Below are 22253 nucleotides of genomic sequence, written 5' to 3' on the forward strand. Positions count from 1 at the left end.
CGTGAGGCCTGATAGAAATCAATGTTCCAGACATTTTAAAAATCAATGACTTCATTGATTTCCAGAAGTTCTCTAGGCAAGAGCGATCAGAGACTTTAGAAGTTCATATCAACATGGAAGTGGTAGAATGACACCTGAGAGAGTAGTGGGTGGTCACCAGGTCACAGGTGTCAGGGTGATCGGAACACTCTGCCCTACAGTGACCTTTGCTCTACCTCCCAATATTAGGCAGAGGAACTACCATTACACAGAGCCTGATTATGGTTTTTATGCTCAGGAGAACTTGTGTTGTCTTCTAAGTGCTGCAGCCCCCAGGTTTTTTGTAAGAGAGGGGCAAATAGACATTTTCTCACGTAAATTAATCAGCTCATTCATGAGTTTTGCAGTCGAATCGCTGTCTTTGCATGGTGTTGTCTGCCAACTAATGGAATAGGGGGTCTTCAAATTTTGTTGACAAAGATAAGACTTCCGTAAAAGGATCCCTTCAAAAGCAGCTTAAAGAGAATTCCGAAGCAACTGTGCTTATAACAATAAATGTTTCTCCATCACTTTCTTTCCAGTTCCTTTGCCTCACGCTTCTGCTACTCTAGTTGTTTTTCCCAGTTTCTCTCCTGTTTACATGCGCTAAAAGAAAACTGTGTAAGGCACTTCATAGGAACATTAAAAACTGGTACAAAGGAAATGTCATGGTTGGTGGGGCGGAGTTTTTAAAGGTTTGGTGAGAAAAAGAAATCCAGACCTTGCTTCTGGCATTTTCTGGGTAGGATTTTTTCACTGGTCCCTAATTCACAGAATAATCAGCTTTGGCAGCAATATTTAGTTCTCCTTTCTTTCTACACACTGGGATGAGGGCATATGAGAACGGAACTTGTGGTAAAGACTACCTTGCCACAACAGGACCCCACCCTGCTTACCTTCCGCTGGATCCACAGTAGTCGTAAATATGTAGTGAATTGTAAATGTGGGGCTTCCTGTATTCTGCAGTGGACATTGCCACACCACTGTCTCCAGTGGAATGAACCAGAATGTAAAATTTATACCTCTTTTGAAATGCGATGGAGCAACATAGGATGACCACATTTTTTCTGTACTATATTGCACTCTTTTGCACAATGTGTAAGAACACAACATGAGAAACCCACAAAGAAGGAAATAGAACAACTGAGGTTGTTGGCTGGGTAGGCTGCAAGGTAAAGCGCAGAATAGTAAATGCCCCACCTAGCCAACATCCTCTGCCAGCTGTTATTCCTGTCACCTAATCTCTACTGCTCTCTCTCTATTATTCTTTCCTATCATCCATCCATTCATCCAGCCAGTCAGACAGCATTTACTGGGGATCCTGTCATGTTGGCTGCTGGGGATATAGACTGCGAGTAGTATGCTGGTAAAAACTAAATAACTAGCTCTGAGGTAAGGGAGCTGATTTGCAGTGCTTATGGATTTTCATAGTGCTAATACTCCCACCATGACTAATTTCAAGCTACTAATGCAACATCATTGAAGCAAAGTTGGGAAGAGATGCACAGTAGCACACCATTTCCACCAACCAGATACAATCGATGTAAATAACCTCCAGTGCACAGATAATAATAAAAGGTAGTAATGAGGAGCTGATGAGTATTGAGTATTTATTAGCATTGTTTTAAATGTAATTTATTTAATTGCACACTTATATAATTTAATTTTAAATCATGGCTGTTTTAACAAACAGCTCACAACATTTCTGAAACTAACAACTGGCTCTCATAAGCAGGTATGTGCTGACTCCAGCACACCACTAGACAGAAAGAAACAATGTATGCTGTTTGCTTTACAAAAGTCTTTTTTAAATCTAGAAAGAATAACATACACATGTAAATAAGGAGTAGCCATATAGTTAATGTGATAACGCAGTAGGGGAAAGTGCTGGGCATAGAATTAGTGGGAAGCACAGTGAGAACCTGTTATGCACTGAATGTATGTGTCTCCCCGAATTTCATATATAGAAGTCCTAATCCCCAGTGTGGCTGTATTTGGAGTAAGGAAGTATTAATAATGAAGGTTATGGCTGGGTGTGGTGGCTCATGCCTGTAATCCCAGCACTTTGGGAGGTCAAAGCGGGCGGATCACCTGAGGTCAGGAGTTCAAGACCAGCCTGACCAACATGGAGAAACCCCGTCTCTACTAAAAATACAAAATTAGCCAGGCATGGTGGTGCATGCCTGTAATCCCAGCTACTTGGGAGGCTGAGACAGGAGACTCTCTTGAACCCGGGAGGCAGAGGTTGCGGTGAGCCGATATTGTGCCATTGAATTGCAGCCTGGGCAACAAGAGCAAAACTCTGCCCCCCCCCAAAAAAAATTAAGGTTAAATGAAATCATAAGTGTGGGGCCCTGATCTGATAAGATTAGTGTCCTTATAGAAGAGACACTGGAGAGCCCTCTCTCTCTCCAGGTGTGTGCCCCACAGAAAGACCATGTGAGGACATAATGAGAAGGCAGCTTCCTGCAAGCCAGGAAGAGAGCTCTCACCAGAAAGCGAATCAGCTGAGATGGGGTTCAGGCCATGCTACTTCAAAGTGTGGTACCTTGGCATTTGAGAAAACAGCAGAAGCAAGAAGGTCGCTCTCACCTTTCCCTCATCCTTCTCTGCTGAAGCGGGTCACAAGGCTTTCATTTGAGAAGTACCTTCCCTATACCTGGAGGAATGGTAGACCCTTATTTCTGAAGACACAAAGACACAAAGAAGAATCTGAACAGTCTTCAAAACATTCCCCCAGTTTATGAACATTAGATGATCCCTTTGTCCAATCATACATCTGCATGACTGTCTCCTCGTCATCAAACCTAAGCATAAAAATACACAAGCTTCTCTGTTTCTTTGAGTCTTCATTTCTAAAGGCTCCCCTGTCATGTAAAACTTACGTTCATTAAATTTGTCTGCTTTTCTCTTGTTAATCGGTCCTTTGTTATTGGAGCCTCAGTCATGAACCTAGTGATGGGAAAGAAGGATATGCTTTCTTCTTACAGCTGGAACATTGATGATCTTGGACTTCTAGCCCCAAGAATTGTGATGAAATACATTTCTGTTGTTGAAGCCACCAGGGCTATTTTGTTATGGCAGCCCAAGCATACTAATACAGAGCCCTAAATAAAATTACCTGGAGGGCGGGTTGGTAACTTGGACTCAACAGAAGCACCTGAGGATGCTCAGAGGCAGGCTGGTTTGCATTTAGCAAGTGGACCTCCCTATTCCTGAATATTTTCTCTTATCGCTAGTCAGTGTCTTCAGATACAAACACCCTGGCACAATTATGATCCTTGGCAGAATGTTGACTTTAGAAGGGAGAACTCCAACTTTGAAGCCCAAGCTGAGAAACACAGCAGGGCAGGTGAGGATTGGTGACCAGTGACTGCCGCTGCAACACAGGAATCACACCTGGTGAACTGTGCAGGCCCAGTCTCTCTCTCCTTTTTTTTTTTTTTTTTGAGACAGGGTCTCACTCTGTTGCCCAGCTTGGAATGCAGTGGTGTTATCATGGCTCAGTGCAGCCTTAACCTCCCAGGCTTAAGCGTTTCTCCTGTCTCAGCCTCCCAGGTAGCTGGGACTACAGGCATGTGTCACCATGCCTGGCAAATTTTTTGTAGAGACAATATCTCACTATATTGCTCAGGCTGGTCTCGAACTCCTGAGCTCAAGTGATCCTTCTGCCTCAGCCTCCCAAAATGCTGAGATGACAGGTGTGAACCACTGCACTCAGCCTTAGGCCCCGTCTTTAATAGTGGCTTCTCATGGCAAAGAAATAAACAGCACACGTTGGATTAATAACGTATTCTCATTCCCAAGAGTCCTAGCATTGATAATAAAATGTATGCCTTCTAGAATGAGAAAGTCTTTGAGATTCTTAGACATTTTGGTGGCTGTGCAGCACTTAGGGCATTCTTCCTAATGTGGTATATATGGACATGAACAAATAGTAAAAGAATTAAGAGTTGTGGCCGTTTATATATCCTGATTTGTAGAACAGGTAATGACATATATACTGAGTATGTGTAGATGTGCTTAGAGGAAAGGATGTTGGCCAAAATGTGAACAAGGATGTTATCTCTGGATTAGATATTTTGGGAGGAGAGTTTACTTCTATATGTTTGCTTGTATTGTTTGCATTTTAATTTTTTGTCAAAAAATTTATCAATTTATAATACCTGTCCATTGTAAATAAAGCAAGTAAGATTTAAAAAGGAAGTTTAAAATCCAACCATAGTCCCAAGAGCCAGAAATAAGCACTGTTAATATTTTGGCTTAGAACCTTCCAGATCTTCCGCTATGCGTGGCATATTTTCTTTGTAACCTCTCATCAGCCTTGGATTAATCTGTCTCCATATCCTAGACCGGGGCATCTGAGCCCTGGGGGACAGAAGGCTCACAGCTCACACAATATTAAGTTAGTTTTAAAACACAGTAGGCCCCTCACCCCTGCTCACAATTTTTAAAAAAGATCTCTAGTTAGCCCTTTTTCATTCCTCCCCCCACTATTTCAAAGCTTAAACCATTCTCCCTATCTCACCTCCTATTTCAGAGAAAATATAGACCATCAAGCATGACTCTCTTACTTTCTTCTCTTCCGCTTTTAAATCTGCAGTTTCTTTTCTTCCCCTCTGTTATAGTTGAAAACCTATCTCTTACTCCGTCTAAGGTCCATGCTGCTCCTTCAAAAAAAAAAAAAAAAAAATTACAAGCCTGGTGCAGTGGCTCACGGCTGTAATCCCAGCACTTTGAGAGGCTGAGGTGGGTAGATCACTTGAGGTCAGGAGTTCGAAACCAGCCTGGCCAACATGATGAAACCCTGTCTCTACTAAAAATACAAAAAAATATTAGCCAGGTGTGGTGGCAGGTGCCTGTAATCCCAGCTACTTGGGAGGCTGAGGCAGGAGAATTGCTTGAACCTGGGAGGCGGAGGTTGCAGTGAGCCAAGATTGCAGCAACCGCACTCCAGCCTGGGCGACAGAGTGAGACTCTGTCTCAAAAAAAAAAAAAAAAAAATTACAACTTTTCTCTGGTTTTGTAATTAATCATATCCATATTGAAAATGTTAGGAAATATGAAAGACACAAAGAAGAAAATAAAAATCACATGTAACTCAAACATTAAGAGACAATTACTGCTGGCATTGTAGATTCTTTGTTTTTTCCACACATGATTGTGTGTCTCTGCACATTAAATAAGTATTTTTACACAATTGAAATTATTCCGCACATGCTATCTCATAAATCTCTTTTTCCCTCTTACAATAGATCATAAATATTTTTGCATGACTACAAATATTCTACACTGAGATTTTAAGATGATTTTTTAGGTTAAAAATAACTTTTTCCTTATTTTAAAAGCAGTGTATGCTTATTGTGAAACCATTAGACTTTTGTTAAAAGGGAGAAAAACTTAAATACTTATCATCTTACCTCTGAGATATGATGAGCTGACATAATTTTTATATAAATTTAATAAAAATAAGTTCAGTCAGATATCATTCTATATCATTTGTGATATGCAAATATTTCATTTAATCCTCATGACACGCTAGGTAGTTGTAATTATTATGATAATCCCCACTTTCTAGATGAGGAAACTGAGGCCTAAGGAATTTAAGTAATCTGTTTGAAGTTTTTAAGCGGTAGAGGTGGGCTATGGACCTAGGCAGTCTGCCGCAGAGGCTGGAGTTTTAATAACTCATCTGTACAGCTCTCAATTTATAGGGAACGTCTTTCCACATCAATAAATCTTGCTCTCTGTGCCTTGCTTGCAAATATCTACTCTAGCTCAGAATCAGATAAACATTGTTTTGTTTTCTTGTAGTTCTTTTAAGATTTTCTCTTTCGATTACCAGTTGCACGTAGAATTACTTTTGTTTTTGCTGTGGGTGGATTCTCACTTCAGGTTTTTTCCAAATGGTTAACAAATGATCCAAGTTTTATTTATTGAACAACCTATCGTTTCTCCACCAACTTAAACTGTTATCTTTGTTTCTGCCTCTGTCTTCTCTTGACTTCTCTGAAAACTTATTTCATCTATTATCCACCATTTCTCCTGGATCTTGAAAATATGAGGTAGCTTTGAATTATTGGTACATTTGCTTAATTAATTGATTGATGTATTATTCATTAAGTAGCATTTATAAAGGATGCAACAGGAAGATTTTTAAAAATCTCTCTTGGGACTCACTGTCTAAAGACGTGTAACGACTCTTTTTAAGAAACACTTAAGTTGTACTTACAATGTGCCAGTCACTGTTCTTGGTGATTTACAAATATTATCTTATTTAATCCTCATAGCAAGACTATGATATAGGTACTATTTATATCCCCACTTTTCATATGAGGCAATAAAGCATCAAGAGGTTAAGTAACTTGTCCAAAGTTACATAGCTGGTAAATGGGTGGCTGGGAAAAGTTAACTGGCAATTCCAATGTTATGCAATGAGTGTCATTATCATAGGGGAAATATAGGGTTCTGTGGGCTCTTAGTAAGGGCATTTGATAGAGCCATGGGAGTCAGGAAAGACTTTTGGAGGGAGTGATGGCCAAATGATTCCTAAAGAATGAGAAGGAGGGTCGGGTGCAGTGGCTCACGCCTGTAATCCCAACACTATGGGAGGCCGAGGCAGGTGGATCACGAGGTCAGGAGATCGAGACCATCCTGGCTAACATGATGAAACCCCGTCTCCACTGAAAAATACAAAAAAATTAGCTGGGCATGGTGGCAGGCGCCTGTAGTCCCAGCTACTTGGGAGGCTGAGGCAGGAAAATGGAGTGAACCTAGGAGGCAGAGCTTGCGGTGAGCTGAGATCGTGCCACTGCACTCCAGCCTGGGCGACAGAGCGAAGACTCCGTCTCAAAAAACAAAAAAGCAAAAACAAATAAACAATTACACTTAAAAAATTACAAATCCTTCTGATAACACTGTTGGTGGTATTGTAAACTGGATCAGTCTTTCTTGAGTGTATGATGGTGACAAGTAACATACTCTTAATAGTTTGATCTAGTAATGTCTTTTGAAAAATAACTTAAGGATATAATCTAAGAGAACAAAAAATATACACAAAGATGTGTTATTTAGGCAAAAATGGAAAAATATCCGAATGCCTAAGAATCAGAGAATGAATTTTAAAAAGCTATGTTTTGCAATGAAACACTATAGAACACTAAATAATAACTATGGTTATTATAGTGTAGTATGGTCATATGTACAAATGCATCTACTAAATAATGTTGACATGTGCAAAGCAGAATTTGCATATGCACCTTAATTGAAAATGATCTAAGGAAGGATGGATTCTGATACTCAAAATTAATTTAACACAATATTAATATCCATTAGATCTATTTTTAGCCTTCTCACAAAGGCAACCTAAATTTAAAATGGAAGTTAAAATAAACCTCTCTGAAAATCAAAATAAACACATTTCTATTTCTTCAACACATTTTTTACTTAGTTACTTCCCAGCGCATTAACTCCTTATTTTAGCATGAGAGGGGGAGAATAAACACTTAGAAGAAATGAAAGATTTCTTAGAATTTTGCTATTAAAATTAATTATTATTCCTGAGACGTATAATCAACACCCAATGATGTGTTATCTCTTTGATGTTTGATGAGCTACACTGGAAACATGTCTGCCTATAATTTGGGGTGAGAAACAGAGTGAACTTTCACTCTTGGGTATACGATGGTTTATTCATTTTCTAGGACTGTTGTAACAAAGTACCACAAACTGGGTGGCTGAAACCAATAGAAATTTATTGTCTCACAGTTCTGGAGGCTGGAGGTCTGGAATCACGGTGTGAGGAGGGTGGGGGTCATCCAAGGACTCTGAGAGAAAATCCCTTCCATGCCTCCTCTGTCTTAGCTTCTGGAAATGGCCGTCAATCCTTGGTGTTCCTTGGTTTGTAGATGCACCACTCCAAGCTCTACATTTTCTTTTTTTTTTGGAGACAGGGTCTCACCCTGTCGCCCAGGCTGGAGTGGAGTGGCCAATCATAGCTCACTGCAGCCTTGAACTCCTGAGCTCAAGCCATCCTCCAGCTTTGATCTTACAAACTTCTGGGATTACAGGCATGAGCCACTGCACGTGGCCCTTCTGCTTCCATCTTCACATGGCATTCTCCCTGCATCTCTGTGTCTTCTTAGGGGCCCACCCTATTCCTGTATAATTTCATTTTAACTAATTACATCTGCAATGATCCTGTTTCCAAAGGAAGTCACATTCTGAGGTACCAAAGGTTAGGACTTCAACATATCTTTTTATGGGGACAAAATTCAACTCATAACTGGTAGCCTTGGAGTTAATGTAATTAATGCACTGTTTCATTTCAGAATTTTCTGAGAGCAAAATCTGTGATGTCCATGACAGGTCCTAGGAGGATCCACACAGGAAAAGGGCTGGTAATGGAGGAATGGTCTCATGAAAGTAGGAAAGATTGCTTTAATAGACTGCTGACCTTTTTTCCCAGGAGGGTGGCCTCACTTCTGGTTAACCACGGATGTAGTGCTGAAACCCAATGGGTAAAGACAGCTGCAGGCTGTTGTGGGGACTCTCTCTCTCCTTGATTTTATATTTCCACATGGAGGAACACACATTAGATAAATGCTTCTGTCCTCATCACTCCCTCATTCATCCTCCTCAGCTAAAAGCAAACTAACTGCTTGGTAAATTTTGGAAGAAGGCCATGAGCATACCCCAATTAGCCTTTTTCTCTCCTCTTTGTAACCAACTGCCGGCATGTCCTCTGTTTCTCCACACACTAAACTGTATTGGGGCAAAACTCCACGGGGAAGGTCTGTGGCTGTCTTGTGCTGCTTATGACTTGGTGGGAAACAAACACTAATTCTGGGGGGTCAATGTTATGCCACCTTTTGGCCAACAGACCTAAGCCACACTCTCCAACCTGGTTTTTATCTACATTAAAAATGTGTCTAAATTTCCTATAACACAGGTGATGTTTTAATTTTCTTTTGTTTACCTCCTTCTCTAAGTCTAAACGTGTTACAAGTTCAGGGAGAAAAAAGGTTGTCCCTCTAGGCATTCTTGGACCTCCAGAAGAGAATACAGTTAGTTCATTTTTAGTTACTTCCTCTACACTGTAAAAACCAGGTATGGAACAGACACCAAAAAGGGTATGGAGGATGCATGTTGTTGTCTGTTTGTATTGCTACAACAAAATCCTGAGACTGGGTAATTTATAAATTATAGAAATGTACTTCTCACAGTTCTGGAGGCTGGGAAGTCCAAGGTCAAGGCACCAGCAGTTTAGGTGTCTGCTGAGGGCCTGGTCTCTGCTTCCAAGATGGCGCCTTCAATGCTGTGTCCTCACATGGAGAAGGGATGGAAGGGCCTAGGCTAATTCTCTCCAGCCCTTTTATAAGGCACTAGTCTCATCCATGAGTATCCAGCCCTCATGGTCTAATCACCTAATCACTACCTAAAGGCCCCACTTCCTAACACTGCTGCACTGGGGATTGAGCTTCAACATAAGTTTTGAATTTTTTGTTTGTTTGTTTTTTTGAGACCAGGTCTCACTCTGTCACCCAGGCTGGAGAGCAGTGGTGCAATCTCAGCTCACTGCAGCCTTGACCTCCCCTGGTGCAGTTGATCCTCCCACCTCAGCCTCCCCAGCAGCTGAGACTACAGGCATGCACCTGTAGTGCACCTGGCTAATTTTTCCATTTTTTGTAGAGATGGGGTTTCTCCATGTTGCCCAGGCTCATCTCAAACTCCCAGGCTCAAGTGATCCACCTGCCTTGGCCTCCCAAAGTGCTAGATTTACAGGCATGAGCCACTGTGCCTGGCCTCAACACGAATTTTGGAGAGGACACAAACCTTCCAACCACAGCACATGTTATTAACCTCCAGCCCCCAAGACTCTCCCCAGTCATACGAGTGAGGGGTGGAATGTGCTACAGCAGAAAAACGGGTGTTGGTGGAAATCAAGGGATACTTTGTCCATTTCTAGCTGCTTTTGCTCCTACTTATCACTGAGCAACAATTTGAGGAGAGTCGGCTCTGGGCAAGGTGCCATGCTGGACCCCGCTGAGAACACAAAGAACCATAAGGCAAACACCACCATCCTCAGTAAATTTACAGTCTTGTTGGCAAAACAAGCCACATAAAAAAGACAAGTTATGATACAAGACAGGATATGACCAGTGCCAGTGAGTTTTATAGGCTGTTAAAGTGCCATAAATATTAAGAAGAGGAAGAGAACACTGTGGAACAGTTTGAACTGATAAGACATCGGGGGGATACTTGTTGGAGAAGGGAGTATTCCAGGTTGGGGGAACATTGTGTGAAAAGGGACTGGTGCTAGCATGTTCAAGATATTTTAGTAAACAATTTGAGCAACACCTAAGAAGTCCCTAGCTTGTGAAAAGCCAGGGGTTGATGCATACAGTGTAATATGGTGCTCCTTGGGTGGCTCTGAAGTCAAACATGTAGCCTGGAATTCTGTGCTCTGGGGCAAGTCACTTAACCTCTCCAAGCCTCACTTTCCTTGTATATGGGGTGGCTGCTGTCATAGGCAGTAAGGATAAAGCAATAAGTAAGAAAATCCCTATTTATTTTGTGCTTACTTTGGGGTACAGTTGTTATTCTAAGCTTTTTTTTTTTTTTGAGACAGTCTCGCTCTGTCACCCAGGCTGGAGTGCAGTGGCACAATCTAAGCTCACAACCTCTGCCTCCCAGGTTCAAGTGATGCTCCTACCTCAGCCTCCCTGAGTAGCTGGGATTACAGGCACCTGCCACCATGCCTGGCTAATTTTTTGTATTTTTAGTAGAGATGGGGTTTTCCCATGTTGGTCAGGCTGGTCTCAAACTCCTGACCTCAGGTAATCTGCCCGTCTTGGCCTCCCAAAGTGCTGGGATTATAAGCATGAGCCACCGCACCTCGCCTATTCTAAGCATTTTTTAAATGCTAGCCTGAGGCAGGTACTTTTATTACCCTCATTACACATGTGAAGAAAGTATGGTCCAGAGAGGCTAAGCACCTCACTCTAAGTCTCCCAGCCAGCAAGAAGCAGCAGCCAAATGCATACTCAGGCAGTCTGGCGCCAGAACCCATGCTTTCAACCATTGTGCTAACTAGCTGTAAGGTGGTGGGTTTGTGAAGGGATGTTGCAGTGGGAGATATGATTGTATAGGGTACAGATGACCTTGACCACCAGATTAAGAAAAGTAAGAATATCTGGCAACTGAGATTCTTTTCGATTTACTGCTTTGCTGCTTGAACAAGTTGTTTGGACTTAAAATTACAGGTTTTGGGTGGCCATGCAAGGCCTTACAGAAGAGATAAGTAAAAAGCTATTTTAGGAAGATTATTCTTCCTGTGACATAAATTATGGTTTGGGGAGGAGAGAGTTTGGAGGTCGGGGAGAATAATTAGAAGGCAATAATAAAGCTTGCATCTAGAGCAGGTGCATTGGGAATGTAAACGGAGAGATGAGTTTAAAAGACACTACTATGAGAAGAATATTCACTCCATTAAAGAATGTTTAATCTACTAGTCTATCCTTGTATTTAATGCCATGGATATATCATCTTTTTATTTGGTTTTCATGGTAACATGTATTGTCTAGGAGAGGTGGGATAAAAGAAACTTCATGGTTTTTTTTTAGTATGGTAAGGTTTGAGCTTTTAGCCACTTAATAGCATTTGAAAATGAGCTACATTACAGCAAAAAGGAGATTGTACACTGATATACATAAAAAGGTGACAAAATTCATCCTGGCTTCCTTAGTCTTGTGAAAATCTCTTTGAAGAATGGCATACATCTGTTCAAATTCTCTAGAAGTATTGTTGGAGAGTGAATTTGCTTGAGGTCTCCACTTGGGATTCAGTGATTGGAAGTGGAAAAATGAATGACTCAAGGTATCTTTGTTGATGGAGGCCAGGCTAGGGAGAATCAAAACTGCAAATCCCACCGGAGCAGGGTTCTCTAGTTCTCCTGTGTCTATCCCTTTCTTTGATTGGCTACGCAAACCACAGCAGAGAATGCATGTGTTTTTTTGTTTTTGTTTTTTTGAGACAGAGTTTCGCTATTGTCTCCCAGGCTGGAATACAATGGCGCAATCTTGGCTCACTGCAACCTCCATCTCCTGGGTTCAAGCGATTCTCCAGCCTCTGGAGTAGCTGGGGTTTCAGGCGCCCACCACCACACCCAGCTAATTTTTTGTAATTTTAGCAGAGACGGGGTTTCACCATGTTGGCCAGGCTGGTTTCAAACTCCTGACCTTCAGTGATCCACCAGCCTCGGCCTCCCAAAGTGCTGGGATTACAGGCATGAGTCACCATGCCTGGTCGCATGTGTTTACCCCACTTTTTGAACCCCTACAAAGAGGTTTGCATTTGGCAAATAATCCACACCTAGAAGAGGAAAAGCTAGTGCTCACTCTTTTTATAAAAATGTTGACATAGTCTTAAATCTCTAGATGATACCTAAGAACAAGTGTAAAATAATAGAATAGAACAAATGGTATATATGTAGCTCTTCATGAAATGGACACATATATGTACATAAGTACACATATATACATATACACCAATATGTACATATTAATATGTAAGGCATTTTTCTGGGAAGACAAGGATAAAAAAAGATCTCTCATGGAATTTGCATTGTTAAGAGAAAAAGCAAGCTGCAGAAAAGTTATGTATAGCACAATTCTATTTCAGTTTTTAAAAAAGGTGTACGTATGTTTGTGCATGCATGTGAATGTGTGTGTGTGTGTATTTGTCCTCCTTGGCATTCGCTTAGCCTTTGGGTAAAAATACGTGTCTTTGATCTTGTTGTGGAAAATTCTCATACCTTATGTTTTCTTTTTCTAACTTTTCTTTTGAAATAATTGTAGATTCACAGGACATTGCAAAAATAGTACAAAGAGGTCCCATGTACCCTTCACTCTGTTTTTTGAGACAGGTTCTCTCAGGCTGGTCTCGAATTCCTGGACTAAAGCGATCCTCCCCTCCTCCTGCCTCCGCCTTCCATGTAGCTAGGACTATAGGTGCTCACCACCACCTGGCTCTAATGGTTACTTTTTACATAACTTTAGTGCAGTATCAAAACCAGGAAATTGACATTGGTGCAGTATCAAAACAAGGAAATTGACATTGGCTCTGTGTGTGTGTGTGTGTGTGTGTGTGTGTGTGTTTCTTTGCCATTTCACCAGATGCGTAGGTCCCTGTAACTACCATCACAATTGAGATGGAGAATTGTTCCATCGCTACAGAGCTCTCCCTCATGCTACCCCTGTATAGTCACACATACTACCCTCCCATCACTGTCCTTAATCCCTGGCAACTCCTAACCTGTTATAAGACATTTTACAATGTTTGCAAATGTATAATTGAACCCATACAACCTGTGTCCTTTTGAGATTGGCTTTTTTCCCTCAGCATGTTGACCTCAAGGTCCATTCAAGTTGCCGTGTGTATCAATAGTTCCCTCCTTTTTATTGCTGAGTATATTGTATGGCTGGATATATACCATAGTTTGTTTAGCAATTCCCCTACTGGGAGACATTTTGGTTGTTTCCATTTCTTGACTATTGGAAATAATACTACATGGACATTTGTGTACAGGTTTTTGTGTGGATGTAAATGTTAATTTCTGTATCATAAGGCTGAGGAGTGCTGATGTACCATATGGTAAGTGAATGCTTACTTTTTTGAGGAAATGCCAAACTAATTTCCCAAGTGGATATACCATTTTATACCCCCACCAGCAATGTATGAAATATCCAGTTTCTTCACATACTCACCTGCATTTGGTATTGTCAGTATTTTTTATTTTACTTGTTCTAGTAGATGTGTATTGATATTTCATCTTGGTCTTAATTTGCATTTTCCTAATAACTAGTGATATTGAACATCTTTTTATGTACTTATTTGCCATCTGTATTTCTTTTTGGTGAAGTACCTGTTTAAATTTTTGCTCATTTTTGAATTGGGTTTTTACGTTCTTATTTCTAAGATTTGAGAGTTCTTTATATATTTTGGATATTGTCTTTGCTCTGTCATCTTTTATTTTTTACTCTATCTTCCATATCTTTTAACCTTTCTTTCAATTTTCCATTTCTTTGTCTCTCTGAGCTACATTTTTTTATTTTTTATTTTTTTTATTTTATTTTTGGGAGACAGGGTCTTGCTCTGTTGCCCAGGCTAGAGCACAGTGGTACAATTACTGCAGCCTCCACCTCCCAAGCTCAAGAGATCCTCCCACCACAGCTTCATGAGTAGCTAGGACTACAGGTGCACACTACTACACTCAACAAACTTTTGTACTTTTTATAGAAACAGGGTTTCACCATGTTGCCCAGGCTGGTCTTGAACTCCTGGCCTCAAACAATCCTCTCACCTCTGCCTCCCAAAGTGCTGGGATTATAGGCATGAGCCACCACACCTGGCAAAGTTTTAATTCTGTTACTTTATTTTTCATTTCCAGAAGTACTACTTCATTCTTTTTGAAGTTTGCTTGTTTGTTTTATATAGTTCTTGGTTTCCTGCACATATTTTCAAACTTGCGTATTTCTTTAAACATATTAAACATGACCATCTTATAGTCTGTGTCTGATAATTTAATTACATGATGCCTGAAGTCTTTGTGGGTCTTTCCCGACTACACATAGTTTCTTTTACAATTGTTTGCAGATCAATGATTTTTTTAAAAAACATTTTATCGGAAATAAAATCTAGAAAAAGAAAAGCTATACACAAAACAAATGTGTAGCTAATGAATTATTATAATGAAAACACTATTTTTATTTACACCTAAGTCTAGAAATTGAATTTCAAGAGCCATTGTATAGGCCCTTCCATGTGCTCCATCTCAGTAACTTTCAAACGTACTCATCACATGGTAGATACAACTATGGACAAATTTGTTTCTTCTGTATTGCAAGAGTTTCAAACTCTAATTTGGAGGATCTCAGATGATCACAACACAATGAACTGAGGACTCTGAAACATGTACAAAACCAACTGCAGCAGGGAATTAAATGATTGCTTTATTAGAAAAACAGAATGAGATTGGGTGAAAAGCATGAAAGAGGATATATAATCTTTTTCCTCCTTTGGCTCTGGTACAATTTCTTCTCTTTAGCTATAGAGAAGGAACAGAAGCTGTGGACCATGCTTCCCATCTGAGCCTGTCCTCACTTTATGAAGCTTAAAGATCTCAACCTGTAACCCCAGAAGCATCAACCAGCACATACATCAGATGGACAGATTACCATCAAGCTCTCTGCAGAAGCACAGAATGCATCTCATAAAGCTTCTTAGATAACTATGGCTATCACTAGATATTTTACTATCATAATACATAATTTTCATGGAATAGTATTGTGTTTCATCATTCTTATTAATATGATATTAAGTTTACAAAATTACCTAGCCTCCCTCCCCAAAATGTTTTCTTTAATACTGCGTTTTTGATTCCTATATCAGACAGCTGGGATGCCACGTGTTGGGTCCCTGCCGAGTCGGGAAATTATACACTTGAGGATTATGAAATTGGGCTTGATTGATTTAATCACTGTAATCATTGGCATTGTGCAGATATGCAACCAGGAGGTTTTCATTCCAACAATTATGCATGATGAAGTCATGTTATGTGGGAGGCTCATCCTTGTGTTTATTTCTGTCTAAATGGGAAGGACAATGGAGAGTGAGGCATGATCCAAGGTACAGCACTGCCATGTGAACCCACATTAGCAGCCAGGGGGAGAATAAGGACAGGTGATGAGCTTAGTGAAGTCTCTGTGCTGTACTTGACCATGCAAAGAATTTGTATCTAATTAAATATATATTTATGCTATTATCCTTCGAAGAGGATTAAAAGGCAGAGTATCCGCTATATGATAAGAACTCCATAGATATTAGTTTCTTTCTTTATGGCAAGTCCTTCAAGGTGGTCTCAGGAGCTGTACAGAGGTGAAGCTACTTCAAATCAACCACTTTCTTTCAATATCCTGGAGGCAGTGCGGACACGGACAGAATGTCTTCCCCCTACTTGGTTCTACAGATTTATTTGAGTTACTGACCAAAGGAGTGTCTCCCCATTGGGAACTGGTACATAATTAGAAGGGCTAGTGAGTCAATCTTTGAAGAAGGCTTTGAAGAAAGCTAACAGAGCCTAAACCATTCTTATCATTATGGAACCTCAGAACTCTGTCTTGGGAAGGAGCATGTCATGGCTTGAGAAATCATGTGAGCTCATTTTCACAGGACTCTGGGCATGTGAATTTGAAGGAGACTATGTGGATGTGTGGAACTGGTGAATAAGAAGAAGCATGTTGGGGGAAGTTTGGTCCAAGATATTGTCCAAGTACAGTATAAAGGATAAAGATGTGTTATCTACTGCCACCATGCACAGAATCACAGTATGGTGGAAGGAAGCAGGGCCTTGGTACCATCTGTTCCAATCTCTTCATTTCGTTGATGAGGAAATTGAGAGCTGGCAAGGGTGATCAAGATCACACAGCTGGTGAGAAGCCAAGAGGTCCCTGCAACTCAGGCCTTCTGACATGCCCTGGGTGCATTTCCCATATGACTGTACCTGAGAAATCCAAGGATCTGTTTATAACATATAATTGGTCCCTCTCCTAACCAGCATAAAGCTTCCATTAGGGCAGAAGTTACAGGATGAATTAAAGAATATATTAGTTGTTTTCCTGTGTAATAATACATGATCTAATTTAATCCTCAAAATAGCCTTGAAAGATAGGCATTCTCATTATTTTCCTTTGTGGATGAGGAAACTGAGGTGTAAGAAAAGTTATATGACTTACAGACTAAGTATCTGGGACTTGAGTTGTGATCAGAGCCCAGGTCTTCAGACCTGAGACCATGGACCACCTGTCTTGGCTGCAAGATCTCAATCTTTTTTTTTTTTTTTTTTTTTTAGATGGAGTCTCGCTCTGTCACCCAGGCTGGAGTGTAGTGGCGTGATCTCAGCTCACTGCAACCTCCGCCTCCCAGGTTTGAATGATTCTTCTGCCTCAGCCTCCCAAGTAGCTGGGATTACAGGCACGTGTCACCACACCTGGCTCTATTTTTAATAGAGATGGGGTGTCCCCATGTTGGCCAGGCTGGTCTCAAACTCCTGACCTCAGATGATCTGCCCGCCTCAGCCTCCGAAAGTGCTGAGATTACAGGCATGAGCCACTGCACCCAGCCAAGACACCAATCTTATATGCAGTTAACTTTTATATGTTGCACTTTGACCTCTCGATACCATCTTTCAAATGAGGGCCTTGACTGCCTTTCCTCTATCTGACAATGATTTGAGATATTGCTGCCATTAAGAGGTCAGAGAGGACCCCTCCACTTCTGGAAGCACCTTTGGGGTATTTTCTACATTCACTCCTGCTGGTGTCACTCCCTGCTGAGTGGACGCCCCGTGTATACCCAGTCTCCAGTTGGACCACCTGTGGATTAGAACTTGAGTCTGCAACTAATCCTGTGCTTTCCACTAACCAGCGGTTCTTAGCTGGGACAACCTTGCTCCCCAGGGGACATCTGGCAATGTCTGGAGGCAATTGTCAAAAATTGCAGAGGGGGATGATGAGAGGTTGCCACTGGCATCTAATAGGTAGAGGCCAAGGATGCTGCTAAACAGTATCTGGACTAGGATGAGGGATTTTAGGAGGGCACATTCAGAATCACGCACATGCCAAGCCTACACTTGCAGGACCCTGAGAGTGAGTCATTCCTTAAATTCTGTGCCCTAGCATCTTCCTGGCCTCACTTCAGTCCCTGGCCTGCTGCTGCTAAATGTCCTACAATGCACAGTACAGTCTTCAGCACCAAAGAATTATGCAGCCCAAACTGTCAATAGAAACCCTGCGTGACATCATGTTGCTGGTTGCCTGACCTATACTGAACTGGCTACACCTTTCAGAGGCAGTGCCTGTGACTCCTGGCTGCCTCTGTAGGTGGCCCGTTTAATCACCTCATTTGCTTTTCCCTTTTTTCATGACTTTCAACCACCTTCCCATCATTAGACAAGCGATATAAAGTGCTTGTGAAAAAGCCCTTAGGTATTCTAGGGCAGTGGTTCTTAAAGTTTAGCTTGCATCAGAATCACCTCGAGGTCTTGTTAAACCACAGATCTTTGCGCCCCACCCAGTAGTCCTGGGAGGAGGCCTGGGAATTTGCATTTTGTATGTGCTCTGGGGTGATGCCGTTACTGTTATTCCAGGTGAGAACCACCGATTTGGGACTCGCTATTCAGAGTGGTCCAAGGAACAGCAATATCTGATCACCTGGTAAACTTAGAAATGCAGACTCTCAGGCCCATTCCTGTTGAGCCACTGTGGGTGAGAATCAGAATTTGCCATTTAACAAGATCCTGGGGTGATTCACGTGCAGGTTAAATTTTAGGGAGCTGGGATCTAAAACAGTAGTTCTCCATTCTGGTTGCATATTCTAGTGAATAACCCAAAGAAGCTCTTTGACATACTGAGTTGAATAACTTTTTACTCACTTATTTTCACAGTGTGGGCCACTTGTTGGAGTGGGGTGTGAGGCCCCAATGTGCAAACTTGAATTGTTGAGGGGCCCTCTAAGCCACTAGGCTGTCATTTAAGGTCGATGAGCCCTAGTGACCAGTAGCAGAATGGGTTTTGCTGATAAGGCTCTTTTTGATTGGCCCTGCTCCCACTCCAACTTCACTTCCCTCCACTCTCCCCTTCACTTGTGGGGCCAGCCATACAGCCACTGCCCTGCCCCTTACTGTACCCCCAACTTGCTGAGCTCACAAGCCTCAGGTCCTTTATGCTTCATGCTCACCTTTCCTGATCCTAACCTGGCTGGCACCTTGTTGACATTTCAGTCTCTACCAGATGCCGCCTCCTAAAGAACTTCCCAGAGCCAACAGAGACCTTGTCTGTTCACTGCTGTCTCCCCAGTGCCTAGAACTGTGCTGCACATGGTAGCTGTTCAATAAATATTTGTTGAATAAACAAAATAAATGAGTCTGGGGATAGCTAAGGGGGAGTGGAATTAAAATGTTCTTTATAGAAGAGGCAAGAGGACTCTGAAGTTCCTGGATGGGAAGCCTGGGAAAGGGAAGGAAAGAGACCTTCAGGGCTGAGCACCTCATGGAAGTTGGAGGGGGAAAGAAAGGGGACGAAAAAAAAAGGACCAATTGTCAGAGCACGTGGGACCATGACAAACAGAGACATCTGGTTCAGATGTTCACCATGTGAGGTATGTGGTGTTATGAATCCCTTACTCCTTCTCCCCTACAAAGTCTTCAATAAGCCTCTATACCACCCAATGATAATTTTTGTGAGGTGAGCGGAGGCAGTAGAGGATTATTTAGGGAAACTCAAAGAGGTCTTGAATTCTGCATACAGGTTGGCACAGGGCTGAAAATAGAAGAGACAGGTTTTACAAAGCAAGAGCAAGAACAGGGGAGGGTGGATAGCTAAGGGACTTTTCAAATTCAAATTCCTGCACCTTCTCTGACTCCAGGCCTACTGAACTGGACCCTCCTCAGGAGGAACCCGAGAATACGGTGAACTAAAAGCTGTCTTGGTAATCTGTGGGGAACCCTGGGTCAATCAGTTTATAGCCTCCGGGTTCACATGAATGACATCCTAATGTATTAAGAGTAGGGAGAAGAGAGACTGTTGAGCCCTTGTGAGTGTGTATTTAAGGAACTGCGGGGTGGGGAAAGGGTCAGAGATTCTGAAACCAGGGAAATATCATGCTGATTTTCAATAAAAGGCAAAATTAAAAAGTGAGATTTCCATGGAGTTTATGTTGCCATTGTGTAGTGGTAGGAGTCTGCACTCTGTAGTCAGACGGCCTGGCTTTGAATTCTGGAGTCACTAGCAAGCGGCTATGAGACATTGCACAAATTTTTTTAACATCTCTAAGCTCCAGTTTCCCCATCTGAAAGTGGGGATGACAACAGTACTCACCTCTTTGTGCTAGTGACAGAAATAAATGAGATAATCATCATGTAAAGCACTGAAATCGTGCCTGGAACATGGTCAAGCCTAGTTATGACAGTATTTTTATTATTGTGGCAGTTGAACAAGGTATTAAAAGTGGACTACTAAAGGGATGCTTCATAGGGACTTAGAAGAGGAAGCAAAAAACTACCAGCAAGAGTGGCAGTCACCATAATTAATAGCAGTTGTGGCTGACTCCTTCCATTCAGAATGGACACTGGCCATAGCACAGCATGGGTTTATGGGCAACAAGGCAGCCTGCCATCATTGCCTTACTGCCAAGAAGACTTCGATCAGGGAGATCAGGGTGACATGTTGTCTCTGGATTTAGCAAGTCATTGACAAGCACTTTTAGGATATCCCATAGACATGGAGACACATGTGCTGGATATAGGGATACAGGAATGATTTGAGCAGGTTGTGATTAACTAGCTGAATGCCAACCTGGCAGGAGTGCTCTCGCAGCCTGTTATGGCTCTTTTCTATCACTGGTCCTTTCAAAATGTTGACTGATAGTTCAGGATGGGTGCTTTGCAAATTTATTTTTGGCACCAATATTTTTCTTTCTTCCTATGCGTGGTTAATAGAAAGCCCAGGATACAAAACAGATGAAAGATCTGTTCTGACTAAATGATTTGATGACATTGAGGAGGGTTCCCCTCATTTCCTGAAGCAGCTATGAACATTTAGGGCTCTGTGTCTTGAAAACTTTGGAGCTAGATGGAACCATGAAGGCAGATCCCAACGCCGGCAGGCAGTGACTTGTTGAGCCTTGAGCACTGAACTCCAAATCCCAGGAGGAAATGAGGTCCATTACTTGATAACTTGGCTTTGAAAATCAGCAAATATAGTTATGACTTTGAGCAAGTTTAATGAGTCTTGCCAAGTGTCAAATTCTTCAACTATAAAATGAGGAGAGTAATTGTACCTACTTCATAGAGTATTTGTGCAAATCAAAATGGAATAATGAATATAGAGCTTTCGACATATTATTATTATTATCATCAATAAGGGGCAAAAAAGTGAGATTTCCATGGAGTTTATGTTGCCACTGTGTAGTGGTAGGACAGCTACACAATTATCTTTACTTGATAGAACCAAAACGTTTCTATCCTTTAATTGCCTTTACTTGATCGAACCAAATTCAGCAAGATGGCATGTAACAGGGTAAAGAAAAAAATTTATATTTGAATCTTACAAAGATATGCAGAAATATAGATATGGAATTTGTTAGCAGTCTATGGAGAAAAAAATGTAGGCAGTTTAGGTAACAGTGAAACTCAATGTAAAAGTCAACCATATGTAGTCAGCAACAACAACAAAACAGGGCTAAATGCAATCTTAACCTGCATAACTTAGAACATTTCCATTTTTCCTGCTCCTGGTCAGTTCACATCCCTCATCTCAGGACTCACACTACAGGGAACTGAGAGATTGGACCATTCAGAGGAGGCTGGTGAAGGCCCGGACAGAAACCATTACGTTAGAAGAACAGTTGCAGGCATTATGACATTTACCCTGAAGAAGAGAGGTCTCAGAGGAGGGTAATACAACAGAGGTTTTCAGATATGTGGGTAGGCTTCAGGGGTTTTATGATGTCTCAAAGGGATATTATAATGCCTCATGGAGTGAAACTAGGAGGTGGAAGCTTCAGAGAGGTAGATTTAAGCTCTATATAACAAATAACTCTCCAGGAATAAAGTTATTTGTCCAGCATTACAATGACTGCCTTGGGAGGTAATAAATTCCCTGTCACTGGATGTGTGTATAATTTGGCAGCATATGTTATGGAAGGAACTCACAGGTGGTTAAGTCTGGACAAATTTTAGAAGCTTTTTCACCCTTGAAAAATCTGTTTTACTAATAAATTATGAAATGCTGAGTAATGACTTTATTTTATGGGTGGAGACAGGGATAGAATTTCTTTATAGAAAACGTCTGTTAATGTGAATCTTGGATCTGTAGCCATGCTGGAGATGGGCTTGCTCCACTGCTGAGGGACATACGTGCATCCCAGCTCTTTTAATTATCTATGGCACAAATTTGAAAATAAAGTAATGAAAGGAGAGGAAGGAAGGAAAGAAGAGAGGGAAAAAGAAAGCATCTATTAACATATATTCATTTGATCTGAATAAACATTTCTCCAAAAAACATATTTAAATAGTCAATTAGCTGCAGAGAATAGGGAATGCTTATACACTGTTGGTGGGAATGTAAATTAGTTTTGCCACTATAGAAAGCAGTCTGAAGATTCTCAAAGAATGTAGA

General features: G+C 41.3%; 1 protein-coding gene across 5 annotated transcripts in view; it reads right to left on the reverse strand.

Annotated features, from left to right (window-relative positions):
• Positions 1 to 22253, reverse strand: part of RIPOR2 (RHO family interacting cell polarization regulator 2) — a 237885-nt gene that overhangs the window by 146723 nt on the left and 68909 nt on the right. The window lies entirely within an intron of this gene.

Source organism: Homo sapiens, chromosome 6, assembly GCF_000001405.40.
Source record: "Homo sapiens chromosome 6, GRCh38.p14 Primary Assembly".
NCBI classification, from domain to species: domain Eukaryota; kingdom Metazoa; phylum Chordata; class Mammalia; order Primates; family Hominidae; genus Homo; species Homo sapiens.